Raw genomic sequence first — 17,312 nt, forward strand, 5'->3', positions numbered from 1 at the left:
AGCAAATGAATAAAGATAGTACTAGAAGCTGTACAGTGGATGATACTGTTTACTGAGATGGGGAAGCCTAAGAGAAGCCAGTTTAGGTCAAAGTGTTGAGGTAATCAATGGTTCTGTGGTGTCCACATTAAATTTGAGATGCCCAAAAGATATCTAAGTGGAGATGTTAAGCACACAGTAGGTTATTCTCATTAGGGATTTCAGCAGGGGTCAGACTGGAGATACATATTTAAAGTTATTTCTAATAGTTTACATTTAAAGCAATGAGACTGGATGAGGTTATCTAGGGAGGAGGTGGGTAGACAGAGAAGAAAAATAGCTAAGAAGGAGCCCTGAAGCATTCTTACGTTTAGATGTCAAGCAGAAGAGAAGCCAGCAACAGATTCTGAGAAGTGGCCAATAAGAAGGAAGGAAAGCAGGAGAGTGCAAGGAAACCCTCCCCCAAAAATAGTGTTTCAAGAAAGAAAATATGGTGAACAGTATCCAGTGCTCCTGGGAAGTCAAGTGAGCAGAAGGAACTATTGGCCTGGCCACTGGCAAGTCACTGATGACACTCAGAAGTGGGTTCTCAGAGAAGTGTCAAAGTCAAAATAAAAAAGTAGAGACAAACTTCTAAAGTTAATGTTTTATTTGAGAAGAAAGAATTGCAATTCAGGGCATCCACAGAGACCTGGTGGTCTTTGGAATGTCCAAAGAACAAAGAGAAGATTGGGGGTTTTATTTAAAAAAGGAATGTTGCATGTTATGTGTGGTCCAGAGAGAAAATCTTCCTTATGTCAAATACCTTTCATACTTTGAATCTGACTCTTGGCTCTGACTTTCAGATCCACAATTAAATGGCTCAAGCAATTAGTTCAAGCCCGCCTGAATAATCTCTTTTTATTGACTCAAAATCAACTGATTAGTGATCTTAGTTACATGTGCAAAATCTTCTGCCATATAATATAACCTAATTATGGCACAACACTGGGGGAAGAAGTCATGGGGACAGTCTTAGAATTCTGCCTAAGTCTTCCAAAAGAGGCTAGAATATGGGGACCTTATTACAGGACACCAATATTCCCATTAGAAGCCATTATTATTATTGTTGTTGTTATTATTATTGTTATTATTATTATTATTATTTTTAGAGATAGGGCCTCACTCTGTTGCCCAAACTGGAGTGCAGTGGTGCAATCATAGCTCTCTGTAGCCTCAAATTCTTGGGCTCAACTCATTCTCCTGCCTTAGCCTACCAAGTAGCTGGGAGTATAGGCATGCATCTATTTCTTAATTGAATACATTTTCATTTAAATCTCAATACAATTTTAGTGTATGTTTTTAAATGTAAAAATATATTAGTATAAAATGTGTGTAATGTGTATGTAAGTTTAATATATATGTTAACTTTTACTTTCTGTTTTACAACTCCTACAGTGCATAATAAAAAATGTCTGGAGAGAATTTGTTTATAAAATTCTGAAGCATGAGCTGAGATCACTTTCTATATAATAATACTAATAATGATAATAATAATTATAATTTATTGAACACTATGTGCATCACTGTTCTGGAGAATTAACATAATTATAAATGTTCTTTACAACATTCCTGTGAGTAGATTTATATTATTATTATGAATGAAGAAAACAATGCCCATAGAATTTAATTAATTTGACCAAGATTGTCTTAAATAAATTGCTCTTTCAGTGGAGTCAAGGCTCTTTCCAGCCGCTCATTGGGAAGCAGAATGGGAGAAATAGGTTTAGCTAACCGTGGATTGATGCTTCATGCTGCTGAACCCCCTGAGTGTCTCATTTAAACCAGTTTGTTTATTTCAAGCCACCCTCGAACCATGATTGCGCTAAGAAATGGAACTTAAAAATCACAGACCTGAGGCTAATGACTCTCAATTTCTGGCAGCTATGTTGACATTTATTTTTCCTCTCTTGGCTCCATTTCAGTGTGAGGAACTCTTAAAAGTAGTAAGGAGATCTGCCCTGCTTACCCACCTCCCAGTATAAATGAATGAATACAGTAATTCAGTTTAACCCACAAATATGAATAGGAGAGAAAATGAACGTGAAATAACAATCTTGTAGATTTTGTAGACACACCTGTGCTCTTGCTTCAATTCTCTGTAAAACATCTACGTATTAAGCATTTAGAACTTGGTTTACATAGTACCTCCTCGAAGAAGCCTTCCTGCCCTCCCAAGATAAGATTGAATCAGTTTGTCCTCTTTTGTGCTCCCATTCCTCCCAACACTCTGTTCACTATAGACCATACAACACTGTTATAATTGCTAGTTTTCTTGTCTGTCATCATTAGTAAACTATTGTTGAATGCAGGGACAGGCTTCTGGCTATATCCTCGAAGTTTTTGTACTAGAAGGGTGCAGATAGTAGCAACATAAAAAACCACAAAATATGATTTTAAAAAACACATATGGATGAACAAAAAAATAGCAACTTGTTAAACTGACGAATGAACAGGTTAAAAGCAGGCAAATTAAACATGGTACAGGAAATCAGAAAATTAGGGCCATCAGATAAATGAGAAAACCTTTGCTGCAATGACCTCCTCCAGACTTTTACACCCAGAAAAATGTAGAAAGAAACTATTCAGTTTTAGCATACACGTAAGTGAGTTGTGGAATAATCTGGCATTGATGATTGCTGCTCATTTATGGAAAGATTGCGCACACAAAAAAAGCTTGTTAGTGGCCTGAAAAGACAGCTGCGTGAAGAACTGGGCTCTTCCAATTTCACATAAACCGTACTGTCATTTTGGTTCATGCAATATTCCATCCTCGTGTTGGATCCAAACGTGAAGATCCAAAGACAGGTTGGGGGAAAACAAACAGTTTTTGACACCCTTCTTCTTGAAATTATAAATCATCCATGGTTCAATGGATACTCCAGCCACAGTTATACCTTGTCCTTCCTTCTCTCCATTCCCCCAAAGGTTAAAGGCATCGCTCCCAATCTGAAAGTTTTTACTAGAACTTTTCAAATCTCTTCCAACTTCAGAATGACTAAGTATAGCTCAAGCACTTGAGGGAAAGCTGAAGAGGTCATGTCCTAAATTGCTATTTAGCCTCACCTGGCAGGAGTTGATGAAGACAAGTAGTGAGTAAACAATGAAATATTTTTGAAACCCTCTCATTCTATTCATCTAATAATTGAGCACAACTATCATACTATCATAGCAACAATAATTCTACAAATCTGCTTTCCATTTGTTTGTGTTAGAATCCTATACCCTCCTAGGTCATTTTAACAATTGTTTTTAAGAAGCTGGACAAAAATTGTTTTAAATAAGGAAAAGTGTCAAGTCTCAGTGTGCTCTAATTGGCCATGATTAGCATGGCTCTTAATAGGGTTTTCGCTGCTAGCCATTGACAGTCGTTTGCATTTAGACCGCTTTTCTAAAAATGCAATGATTTCTGTGTGGTGGAAAGCTCCGGAGACTTAATAGAGAAGTCATAATAATGTAAACTCACATAGTGGTTTCTACTACTGAAAAATGCCTCTGTCCATGTTAGATACAGTGATGGGATTTCTTTAACTCTGGGTGCAAACACAGGCTTTCACGAAATACAAACTTTTTTCTGGGACCTCTCTAGAAATGTACAGAAGCAGTAGTAAAATTAATAAGCTGAAAGTTAAACTACTTAAATTCAAAAGCCTTAGCAAAGCAAAAGTGGAACTCTAACATTAGATGGGAAATAAAAATAGACATTTCAAACCTCTTTGGAGAAAGAAAATGATAAGAACACAAAACACACATGCCTCTCTGTTAGTGACAGGGTAAACTTGGGTGGAAAATAGGAAACAAATGAATTACCAACTGAGTGACATTTTGTGCTCTGATGTAAGCAATGTGATGCACTTATCAACAATTGAGCCAAGGTAATGAGGGGCCATCTGAAAGACTGGTTGCAAGCGGTGTATGAACACAGCAGAGCAACTCTACTAAACGGAGTGCTAGAGAAGGCTAGAAAGGTAGTCAGTTTGGGTGTTGCCCCAGTGACATTTCCTAACTTGGAGTCCTTATATGTTTGCAAAAGTTATTCAAATAATTTTATACTTTTTCCAGTTTTCAAACTGTGTTGTCCAAATGAAGTATATTATTTGGCTGGGTTCTGGAAAATAGCATGCTTTTTGGTAAAAGGAATAATTGAAAGTAATCAACAACAGTAATAATAACTCAGCACTGACTGAGAACACTCTTGCGTCAGAAACCTCTAGGTACTACAGGTTTATGCTCTCATTAATTCGCAAAACATCTCATTGTTGAACACACCACAGGGCAAGACAACCTTCTTCAGAATTAGGTCCTAAGATCACCCCTTAACTATTTGCTAAATATTATTATGATAACTAGAAAAAACCCTAGAGATAAATGTGAGATGGCTGAATAATTCCAGAGTCCCTGCATTTCTAAAGAGTTTACTTCTTTCTATCTTAGTATTTAGCCTCAATAACCTTAATAATGTAATTTAAACTAATTACCTAGTAAAATCCCAGAGGAAGAATTAAAATACTTAGTGGAACCCTGGGGAAAGTTGTATTATAGAAGGAGCACACCCATTAAATACATCACAAGATGCAGCCTCCCCTGTATTTTACATTAGAGAAAATTCAAGCTAGAGAAGATAAGTACATTCTCCAAGGTCAAGAATGGAGCAAGTGGTAGAATTGGGATTTAAGCCAGGGCCCATCTGTATCACCACTGTATAATTCACAATACTAGTGGACATAGCATTGTATATACACTTCAAATAGATAGAAGCAATTTCTTTTGTTAGCAAAGAGTCTGGAAACAGAATGTTTGTAAAGCAGATAATAATTTAATATATTTAAGCAAAAACAGAAATACAGAAAAGATTATGAGTAAAAGTAAGGAAGGAATGTTGGAAAATGTATTAATTCTTTGGAAGGATCATTTTGTGAACTGAAATAAAAGCCCATGCTTTGATGAATAAGTAAAAGTAGTAACTACTTCTTATGTGCCAAGTTTTTAAAATGCTAAAATTGTAAGATATTTGTGAAAAAGATGATTCAATGACAAATTTCAATAAAGCCTCAAGAATTTGGTATGTGAGACACTGAAGTGTAATTTCCCAATTGATCTTTTCTACTAGTCACACACATTCCCAGTCAAACCAAAGCATTTTTCTGCTCTAAATGAAAATTTGTTTTCAACTTTCTGAAAAATTTAGAGTGGAGTCAACAGCATAAGTCAGCAAGTCTTTGGGTAACCTGACCAAGTTGAATTGCAAATTTCCCCAGAACTGGGACAGGCTCACCTCCCTGCTAGGCCTTTTTTGCATGTGAACTTCATATGCAACTCAGGTTTATTGATACAGCCCATAACTATTGCATTTCCAGAGAGTACATAGGGTGAATTTTAGGATCCCATTTGTAGTCTTTGCCTTGATTTCTACCTAAGCTCTGCAAGAAATTCTCCAGAAGTTGGTGTACCAGGTGGCCGGAAGTGATCTGTAAATCTTCGTTTTAGCTTTCTCTGTAATAAAATAAAAGTCTTAAACATGGATGCATATATGTTTAATTTTAAAAGTTAATTATAATTCATTTTTGCTTTAGCCTTCTTAAAAATTAATTCCTAATTATCATGGCTGTCATCATTTCTGCTTTTAAGTATTTCATATTTAGTTTTAAAAAATAGTAAAATCTGAATCCATAAAAGCAATAAAATGCTTCCTTTCTGTTTTAAAGAGCAAATGTTCTGGCTTCTCTCAAAGACCATCTATCTACTTGTCATATAGACATTATGGTGATTTGCCAGGACTTTGCTCCTGAAATTAGGCACTATGTGTCCCTCTCAACCACTTGTATCATTCTCATCAACTTACAAACAAGTTCTTATCAACTATCTTTGAAAAATCCTTTCTTGACACCACATTTCTCTACTAGTCTTGCACCACTTCTCAGCCTCCAATTCACAGAAGAGTTGGAAAAATTGTTGTCAATGTTGTCTTCTTCTTTTCCTATTCTTATTCATTTACTATCTACTATTCTCTTTATAATTTATTTTGAAGCAAATTTAAACTAAGAGAACATTTGCAAGAAGAATACAAAGAACTCCCGGATCTCCTTTACCCAGCTTCCGCAATTGTTTATACTTTACCACATTTGCCCCATGTCTCATTCCTTGTAAATATATACAACACATGATTATCATTCTTATTTTTCTGAATAATATGGTCAACGTTATCCCTGCCTCCTTAAATACTACAGTGTGTATTTTCCAAAAACAAGGACAGTTTCCAACATGACTGCCATGCAATCATCCCAAACAGGAAATCTACACTGATGCATCACTATAATCCAAACCTGAAATCCAGTCACATTTTTTCCAGTGACCCTGATTAGAGCTCTTCTCCCTTTCTGGTCAAGAATGCCAGTCAAAATCAAGCTTTGCATTTGGATCTGATGTCGCTTTAGTCTCCTTCAATCTGGAAAAGTTCTGCAGCTGTTTTCCTGCCTTTTATGTCCTTGATGGTTTTAAAGAGTAGAGATCTTTTGTTCTGGAGGATGTCTCTCAGGTGGCACAATGATCCTTCCCACAAGAGGTGATGTAAACATCAGGTTGGTGTCTGCCAGGTTTTTCACCCTAAAGTCACGGTTTTCTCCTTTGTAAATGATAAGTATTTTGTGGGAAGATACACCACATCTAAACCAATGGTGGCTTAGTCATGTGTTAACTTGGCTAGACTGAATGTTTCAAGAATGTTTCAAGTTAGTCTGGGCCACAACGACCTTCTTGTGGGCAATTAAGAGGGTGGAAGTAAAGCTGCACCCATTCTGTTATCTCTCACGTTGGTCACTCACCCACTGGCCTAGCTCATTGGTGCGCAGGAGCCAGGACTGCAACTGCTCACCTCTTCCTGATTTCCTTTTCGGCTTCTCTGACCTGCGAGCCAGGTAGGAGGGCCCTGACTTCTGCAGGACATCCATACCATCAAAGGCAGAAGCAACAAGAACTGACACAGGTTTCAGTTCATCTTCTGATCTGCAGCTTATGCTTGTGAATTTCAGCTTGCTCTGCTTGCCACTCAGTTTACATCTATTTCCCTTTGCCTACTGCCTACACTTTGGACTTCAAAGCTCCAACATCACAGAGACAACAGCTTGCTTAAATCGCTTGACTGACTTTCATAATTGCAGAAGGCTAAGTGCCTGTCAAAAATCATATATATGTCTATGTTTTTATATATAAATATTTGCTATATGTAATCTTTTTATGACTCTGTTTTCCTGCTTGGACCATGACTGATGTACTGCTTTCTGTCAAGTCTCCATGCCAAAGTCTTAGCATCCATTTATACCTCCCATCGAATCAATTATGACTATGATGGTTATCAAATGGTGAGTTTTCTATATTCATAACTCCTTCAAAATGTATTGGTATTCTTTTGGAAGGAAGAACTATCATTTCTCCCTAATCTATTTGTCTCTTCATTCATTTATATAAAATAGACTTATGAATTGATATTTTAATGGGTCACAAACCATTATTCATTATTGATTTTGCTGCTCAGGTGGTCTTTGAGTTGGCCAGCAGAAGTCCCCTCCAATCTAGTCCAATGTCTCTTTGGATATATCCCCTCATTTTTTGAATATTTCCTTCCTTTGTAACACAAATATATGTTTATGGATCTTTTTGTTAATTCTCTGATTTAGCCCCAGAATCAGCTATTTTTCCAAGGGACACTCTTTCTTTTAGTGGAGGATGGTATTCAGAAACCAAGCCAAAAATCTTGAACTTCCTGTTTTATCCCTATCTTTGATCTTCTCTGTTACAAACTACGTATTCGTTTTCAATTACCACACTACAAATCACTATAAACTTAGCATCTTAAAACAATGCAAATTTATTATCTCTCAGTTTCCACAGATCAGGAGTCAGGGCACTGGTTGGCACTCAGGGTGTCACAGGCTGTCATCAAAATTCCCACTGGGCTGCAATCTCAAGTGAGGCTTGGGGCCCCCCTCCAAGCTCCTTTAGATTTTTGGTAAAATTTGGATCTTTGTGATTGTAGGGCTGAGGTCCCTATTAACTGGGGTTATGCTCAGTATCTAGTGGCCATCCACCCTCAGGTCCTGGCCATGTGGCCCTCCTACAACATGGCCAGCAGAAAAATTTCCCTTCAGTGTGCTATGAGGAAATCTTACACAATAAATATACTGTAGTCATGAGAATAAGTATCCCATCATAGTCACAGGTCCTGTTCACACTCAAGGGCAGGAGATTATACAAGGCATGCATAATGTCAGGGGCAGGAATCTTAGAGGCCACTGTAGAATTGTGTCTAGCACAAACCATCAGCAATCTGTGGGGTCTTACATCTGATACATGCTCAAATCCAGACTCTTCTCTGCATTTCTACGGCTAGCTTTCCAGCCCACACTACTTCCATCTCTCTTCTTTATTCTGATAGTTTCCCTATCTCCATCCCTCCACTTTTGCTTCCCTGTGCCGTCACCTAAAACTAACCAGAGTGATCATTAAAAACTACCTAAGATGATGCCTTTAACCTTCTTAAAATCTTCAACAATGTCCTACTGCATTCAAAACCAAATCCACAATTCTTCCCACAGCTTCCACATTTTCAGTCCCTACTGGCCTCTTATAATAACTTCCTTTTGCTCCCTGTGCAACAGCCACCATAGCCCATGTATTTTCCTATGTCTCAAATGAGCCAAAGTTGTTTCTTCCCTATACCTTTGCACATCCTCTGAAGTACTTGGTCCTTGCACTGAACAAATTTAGTTGGTTATTTGCATCTCAGTTCACATGTCACTTCTCTAGAAAAGTCTTTCTGACAGTGTAAAGTGACATCATTCACTTAGTCACTCTGAATTACATCAGCCTATTTGTTTTCTTCATAGTGCTTATCAGAAAGTATATTCTTTATCTGTTTACTTCTATATCATTTGCCTGTCCCAAGTAGAATGTTTGCTCCATGAGGCCAGAGACCATGTTTATTTTATTCACTGGTGTATTGCCACTACCTAGTACAGTATTGTTTCATGCTAAGCAGATGCTTAATAGATAATGGTAGTGAATGGGTCTCATGAGACTTACGTACTACATAGAAAAATTAAAATTAGGGAAGATGTTACTTATAAGGACTAAAACTCTGAGGTCATTTTTGTAAGTGGAAAATTATACATGCATATATATGTATACACACATACTTTAAATTATTTGTCTAAAAGTAAAATATTTAAATATTTAAGAATAATATTAAATTATTCCACTTGATAATATTAAAATCCCTCTTGGACTCTGGAAGGAAGGCATCAATACAGAAAGAAATTTTGTCACCCCTTTTCTCATTGGTGGCCTGACATTTTTGCAATGAATATCTGGCAATCATTTCCTACAGTGAATTAATGTTCTGCTTCAGAAATTTAGCTTATCATCGTTAGCAACAATAATAAAAATCCTAGCCAGGTGATCGTCACATGCCTGTAATCCCAGCTACTCAGGAAGCTGAGGTGGAAGGATCACTTAAGTCCAGGAGTTCAAGGCTATAGTGAACCATAATTGCATCACTGTACTCCATCCAGCCTGGCTGACACAGTGAGACCCCATCTCAAAAAAATAATAATAATTTTTAAAAATCTATATTCCAGAGACTCAATAGGTGGAAATCTCTTAATAGCTTTGAATTCTTTTGCCACCAGCAACAAATAAATCAAACCTCTCAGAAGGGATCCCTCTCTATCTTATTGTGACATCTCAGTAGAGGGGATACAGTGGGCTTGGTTGCTAGCTCCTGTGTGAGGTTACAGTCGCAAGGGTCCTGCACCAAGAGGAAGGAATGTGGTTAATTCGCCTTGAATATGATCTTTGAGAGCTTTACCTGGGGTGGCTTCCCGCGATCCAAATCATTCTAGTATTCCCCAGGTATTTCCTTGCAGTCCTTCAGAACCTGACTGAAAACAATATTCATGATGACATTTTCTGTGCCCCGTTTGCAAACTTAAACTACTATATACAGTTTAAGAAATTTTAGAGCCACTGGCTAAAGGGCTAAAATGTAACAGGAATGCTTAGAAACTGTATGCTTGATGTGTTTTACAGTGTTTTTGGTCTTTAGTTTTGATTGGATTGTTTTACTGAAACATGAAGGGCATTTAGAAGGCAAGAAAGTGAATAGGATACATTTGCAACAATATGCCCTAAAGCAACATCTTAATGTCAGAAGTAAATTATAACAACTTACATTACTGATGACATACATTATAATTCAAAGCCAGAGGAACTACATCAAGGTTGTTCTCACTATGATATAAAAAGGTTTTCTTTGTATCTTTTGCAGCCAGACAAAGACCTTTATTGATGAAAATGGTATTAGCAAAAGGTAATAGAAGAAAATACGTATCTTCTGTAAGGCATGAAACAGTTTTTTCTGAAGTTTCCCAATGATTTTGCATCAATTTCACTGAAAAATGTTTTTTATTTCGTAGACAATGTGGAATGGGTTTCTTCCAATGTTATATATGTTCCTCCCAAGATATCAAGAGGAAGTATATCTAGAGTTTGACTTGATCCATTTCTGATGTATTCCATTGATAATAGCACAAGCAGTGATGACAGTTAAAGAATAATGCTTGTGACTATTACAACTGTTAGAAGACTATGTTATTTAGATATATGTGTTTACATAGTCTTTAGCCCCTTAAATGAAAAAAATTTTTTGCATAGTCTTCCTGGTCATGTTTGTATTGACATTCAAATTTTTAAATATCTAATTCAGAGCCTGAGTTAGCTTTCAAAGTATTAGCAAAGTAGTTAATTTATAAAACTTTATTATTACTATAAACATATTAAAATGTTATGAGGCCACATGTTCAGACAAAAACCCTGGAGACATTACAGAATTATTGTTCGATGAAAACAGTAAACCATGCATTTTTAGTTATAGAGTATGCCGAGTCTAACAATCATAGCTTTGATAGGTGTAAGAACCCAATGAGATATTCGACATCAATTAAATATATTTGGTAATTGCCAAATCTCTGTTACTGAGGCCACTTATTTTTCTTCTATGAGTGCATGTGTATATGTGCATGCATGTTCATGATGCAGCTGAGTGACACCAGGGTATCAGGCACACCTAAAGTGCTGAGGGTTCAGTGAAGCATTTTAGCCAGGACAGACTCAACCGTCCTCATGCAGCCTTGGCTTCAACTGAACACTATGGCTTGAAAGCTTAAGGAAAATCCATCACTTTTTTTTTAATTTGATTGTACTAGCCCAACTGTCCCATCACTTTGCCAACTCCTGCTGGTATTCCCAGGACCCAACAAAGAATCCTGGATTTCAGACCAGAAAGAAATTTGGAAATCATCTAGAACACTGGTGGCACCTATGGTGGTGCATCTTCAGGAGTGAACCAACCAATAATAACCATCTACTCAAATATTATGAATTCATGTAATAATGACTGGATTATGCCTGTAGGTATGCTGGTATCATTGGTTTTCTGGAAAACTCAGAAAAGAGAATGTACTCTTTTATTTGTTTTTTTCACTGATCTAAGGACATCTTTAGTTACAAGAGGATAGGAGAGATGAAGTTTGTTTATGTCTGTGATGATGTGCCTTTGACATTAAACAGACTCAGATCCATGCACAGGAATGAAGTAGCAATTACATGACTGTTGAAAAGAAAATGTGTTGGTTGGGGCTTGTAGCCCATCTCATGAAATATCAGGATGAAGCAGCCTCTGAGTGCTTTGAAATGATATTAGGTAAGGCAGCATTATCTAAATGAAAAGGCCAGATTAGAGTCAGGAGGATGGGTCTAGCAGAAAATGTATTAAGACCACCCAATATTTGTGGAACATCATTACCTTCACATATGTACTTTAAAGATAGAAAGGGCAGGTATTATTAAGCTACCTTTCTAATGAGGAACCTGAAGCCCATGCTTACTGACTTATGATAACATAGTCAATGAAAACTAACTTTCCTTAATCCAGTCTATCATTGATGGACATTTGGGTTGGTTCCAAGTCTTTGCTATTGTGAATAGTGCCACAATAAACATACATGTGCATGTGTCTTAATAGCAGCATGATTTATAATCGTTTGGGTGTATACCCAGCAATGGGATGGCTGGGTCAAATGGTATTTCTAGTTCTAGATCCCTGAGGAATCGCCACACTGTCTTCCACAATGGTTGAACCAGTTTACAGTCCCAACAACAGTGTAAAAGTGTTCCTATTTCTCCACATCCTCTCCAGCACCTGTTGTTTCCTGACTTTTTAATGATCGCCATTCTAACTGGTGTGAGATGGTAGCTCATTGTGGTTTTGATTTGCACTTCTCTGATGGCCAGTGATGATGAGCATTTTTTCATGTGTCATTTGGCTGCATAAATGTCTTCTTTTGAGAAGTGTTGGTTCATATCCTTTGCCCAGTTTTTGATGGGGTTGTTTGTTTTTTTCTTGTAAATTTGTTTTAGTTCATTGTAGATTCTGGATATTAGCCCTTTGTCAGATGAGTAGATTGCAAAAATTTTCTCCCATTCTGTAGGTTGCCTGTTCACTCTGATGGTAGTTTCTTTTGCTGTGCAGAAGCTCTTTAGTTTAATTAGATCCCATTTGTCAACTTTGGCTTTTGTTGCCATTGCTTTTGGTGTTTTAGACATGAAGTCCTTGTCCATGCCTATGTCCTGAATGGTATTGCCTAGGTTTTCCTCTAGGGTTTTTATGGTTTTAGGTCTAACATTTAAGTCTTTAATCCATCTTGAATTAATTTTTGTATAAGGTGTAAGGAAGGGATCTAGTTTCAGCTTTCTACATATGGCTAGCCAGTTTTCCCAGCACCATTTATTAAATAGAGAATCCTTTACCCATTTCTTGTTTTTGTCAGGTTTGTCAAAGATCAGATGGTTGCAGATGTGTGGTATTATTTCTGAGGGCTCTGTTCTGTTCCATTGATCTATATCTGTTTTGGTACCAGTACCATGCTGTTTTGGTTACTGTAGCCTTGTAGTATAGTTTGAAGTCAGGTAGCGTGATGCCTCCAGCGTTGTTCTTTTGGCTTAGGATTGTCTTGGCAATGCAGGCTCTTTTTTGGTTCTATATGAACTTTAAAGTAGTTTTTTCCAATTCTGTGAAGAAAGTCATTGGTAGTGGCACATATACACCATGGAATACTATGCAGCCATAAAAAAGGATGAGTTCATGTCCTTTGTAGGGACATGGATGAAGCTGGAAACCACCATTCTCAGCAAATTATCACAGGGACAAAAAACCAAACACCGCACATTCTCACTCATAGGTGGGAATCGAACAATGAGAACACTTGGACACCGGGTGGGGAACATCACACACCAGGGCCTGTCATGGGGTGGGGGGAACGGGGAGGGATAGCATTAGGAGATATACCTAATGTAAATGAAGAGTTAATGGGTGCAGCACACCACCATGGCACATGTATACAAATGTAACAAACCTGCACGTTGTGCACATGTACCCTAGAACTTAAAGTATAATAAAAAAAAATAATAAATGAAATGGTAAAATTGAAAAAAAAGATATAAAACTAGATAAAAGTGTCTGCTTGTAACAATTCTATTGTAAATGGAATATATTTTCAGAACATTCATTTAAGCAAATATAACATAATTTTAATGTAAAAAAAAAGAAAACTAACTTTCCTACTATGTGCATAGCCTCACATGTTCTGTAGAAAATACATACTTCCTAAACTGGAGGCACTTGTGATGTAAGGCAGGGCACAACACTATCTGTTTGTAAGGGACTGTAAAATGATCTGGGCCAATGTCTCCAAGTGATTTATTAATCTACACACAGACATGGGATTTTGGGTTGTTGCAATGTTTTTCTTTACATTGAGCCACAATTGGGTTTGACATGAACATGCAGTTTGAGTATTATTATACACTCAATGCAGTGACCTTATGCAATGACCAGGGACCAAGGCTTTTCTGCCAAAAGATTTGGACATCATTACTGGTTCTTCCTTAAAATCTGTGCTATAGGCAGCTACAGTCATCACTGTGATAAAACTTGCCATACTTGATTGTACAAGTATTTGCTATGGTTTGAATGTGTCCCCTAAATTATAAGTGTTGAAAACTGATCTCCAATGTGACATTATGGAAAGATGGGGCCGCTAAGAGTTTATTGGATAATGAGGGCTCTGTCTCATGAATGGATTAGTGGGTTAATGAATTAATAGCTTATCCTGGAAATGGAACTGATGCATTTATAAGAAATGGAAGACCTGAGCAAGTATGCCCTCACTCTCAGCCTTCTCACTATGTGATGCTCTTGCTACCCTGGGACTCTGTAGAGAGACCCCACCAGAAAGAAGGCCCTCACCAGGAGCCAATCCATGCCCTTGGATTTCCCAGCCTCCAGAATTGCAAGAAATACAACTCTTTTCTTTATTAATTACCCTGTTTCAGGTATTCTGTTATAAGCAACACAAAATGACTGTTATAAGACAGTATTGAATGAGGTCATGAAACTGAAATTGATTTATTAGTTCTAGCATTCTAGATGGATACTTGTAATTATTGTAATTATTTTAAAGCTGAAATCATCAAGAAAAAAGATGATAATGAAATTCCAAACTAGAATTTTTGGATATTTTAACATTTTGCAGTCTTGTAATTCCCTATAATCAATAAAGCGAGTGAGACTGGTCTCTTCATCAGTATTTATGATGAAATTCTTAAAATCCATGTGGAAATACCAATTGTGTCTTAAATAAGAAGAAATACCTATTATTTTTATGTGACATAATATTTCCCATATGACCTCAGTTTTTCTCTGTTCATTAAAAGTTTATCTTACTGCCATTAAAGCCTGCCACCCCCCAAACCAAAAGTATGAAAATTAAATTTTAAAATTATTTTACCTATAACACTGAATTTCTTCACAATCATTCAAAGAAACTAATCAAATTGGGTTTTATTCAGAATATTGTTATAAAAGATTAAATGGCAGTAAAGAAAATTTGCTTTTCTATCGTAACTAATACAGGATCTAATTACAGGATCTTATTATACTTTAGATTAAAAAGTTTGCAGGTTGATTCTATAATTGAGCTTTTTTTCAGTTTTACCCAAGAAAGAAAAATAATGCATTATGTTTGCATAACACCTTATAAAGTATGATGCAGTTTTATGTGTTATTTGATCTCTGCATAATAACTCTGGGAAGGTGAAGAACAGGCATAGAGGTGGATGTTTCAGCTAAGAAAGTTCAAGAGGTTTGCCCCGGGCTGCACTCTTTTCAAGCAAGTATCAGGGCTTCTTCTTAAGCCAAGCACTTCTGACCTCAAAGTCTATGTTCTTCATCTCACAGCATGATCAGTGTCTCTCACACATCATGTTCCTGCCATGGTACCTGTGATTTTCCTTGTTTGGAAGACTTTGTCTGGGAATTAGGTTTTTATTACACTGTTTTGATTATACTGTAGGTCACTTGTTCTCTCTGTAACTTCACTGACTCAAATTGTAATATGTCTGGTGCCACACTGGCTCTAGAAATATCAGTAGCTGTATCATTCAAAACCAGTGAAATAAAAGGATTTTTCTGTTTCAAACACATAAAACGCAAAACATAGTCTTCTTGCTGAAGAATTGTTTGCTACGTGTAATCTAATCAGAAAATAACTATACCTTAAATTTAATGAGGAACAATTTTTTAATTCTTCTGGTTTTTGTTTATAAATGTTAAAACGTACCACATGACTATTTTCTGCTAAGCTATTAAGGACTTGGAACTTCTGCTTTCTTCTGTGCTAATACAGACCAAGATATTATAATTGATGTCCTTAGCCAGTCATCTGAAAAGGTCATGATATTTTCATGAATTCATCTCTAAGTCTTTGACTTCCTTTGCTAGAACCTGCATGCCTTCCCACCTCCTCAAACCAAAAAAACAAAACAAAACAAAACAAAAAAACCACAAAACTAGCCAGTGAATGTTCTGGTATATTCTGGTAAATAAAGTTTTGTGTTTTTTCTTCCTATCTCTTGTCATTAACTTCTATATCAGTAATAATCAAATATATTTGTATTCTGGAAACTATTTCTCTCTGTGTGTATGCAACAAATTCTGTTGAGAATGAACAAGAATTAAGTTTAATAATAAAGAATCTTATAAAGTGCTTTATTTCCATTTATCTGGGCATAGCTGTGGCTCTTTCTTGGGGAGGCAGGTGAAAGTGAAGGGTTTTTAAAGGGGTCTGATAGAGAATGTGAAGTTGATTCATTTAGCCAGATTAGGGTCCACTCATAGCTTTCATCAACTTTCTGGTAGACATCTCCATGTGCATAGGTCTCATTTTTTGTCCTAGTTTTTTTTTTAACCATTTAATCTTAAGGAAAGGACCAATGTATTCTGAAAAAAATGTTATGGATAATGAAATATGGAGTTACTAATAGGTTTTTACTATTTGGGGTGATGGGTACGGTTTCCTACTCATGTTCCAAGGACTTTGAAAGGAGCAGAGTCTGCTTCTATATGGCAATAAAGTCATCATGTCCAAGTGGTTGATTTTCTGTTTTATTTTAAATACTCCTTCTAGGTCTTTCCACATGAAGAAAGCTCATTTGATGGAAATACTTAACAAGTTATTTACATTGTTAATGGGTTGCTGATAAATTTTATTATCAAAATCAGACTCAGAAGCAATGCTACAATGATCAAGATTATGACCAATTTTTATTTAAAGTTACTATAAAGTGTATTATTCTGAACATTAACTACTACATTCCATGGCACATAGTATAATTAATTAATTGCTACATGTATTGTTTACAAAGAACTTCCTTATATGTGTTTCAGTTAATAGTCATAACAAGCCAAGAAAACTTGTGGCACAAAGTTGAATGAACAGTGTGATGGGAATATCACCAGAACCCACGTTAGCTGTGCTTAGCTGTACTTATTTACATGCCTTTGTCTAGCTACTGTGTTATTATAGATCAGATATTGATTGTAGTAGGTTTATTCATATATTTATTCATTTGAGTGAATGTCCATTATGAAAACAAGATTTTCCCCTCTGAAATCTCTAGTTTGATCCAACACATGCAATGTGATTATGTGGATATACTCAGGACATAGTATCATTCAAAACCAGTGAAATATAAGGAGCCAAATCATCAGGTGTATTGAAGAGGACCCTCTTTCACTGTAGGAAGACCCTAACCTACTGTGACTGGCCGTTGCAAAAATCAAACACAAATCTTCCAAATTTTGAAAAGCTGGTCCAGATTGGAAAAATATACCTTTAAAGTTG

Source organism: Homo sapiens, chromosome 2 (genome assembly GCF_000001405.40).
Source record: "Homo sapiens chromosome 2, GRCh38.p14 Primary Assembly".
NCBI classification, from domain to species: Eukaryota; Metazoa; Chordata; class Mammalia; order Primates; family Hominidae; genus Homo; species Homo sapiens.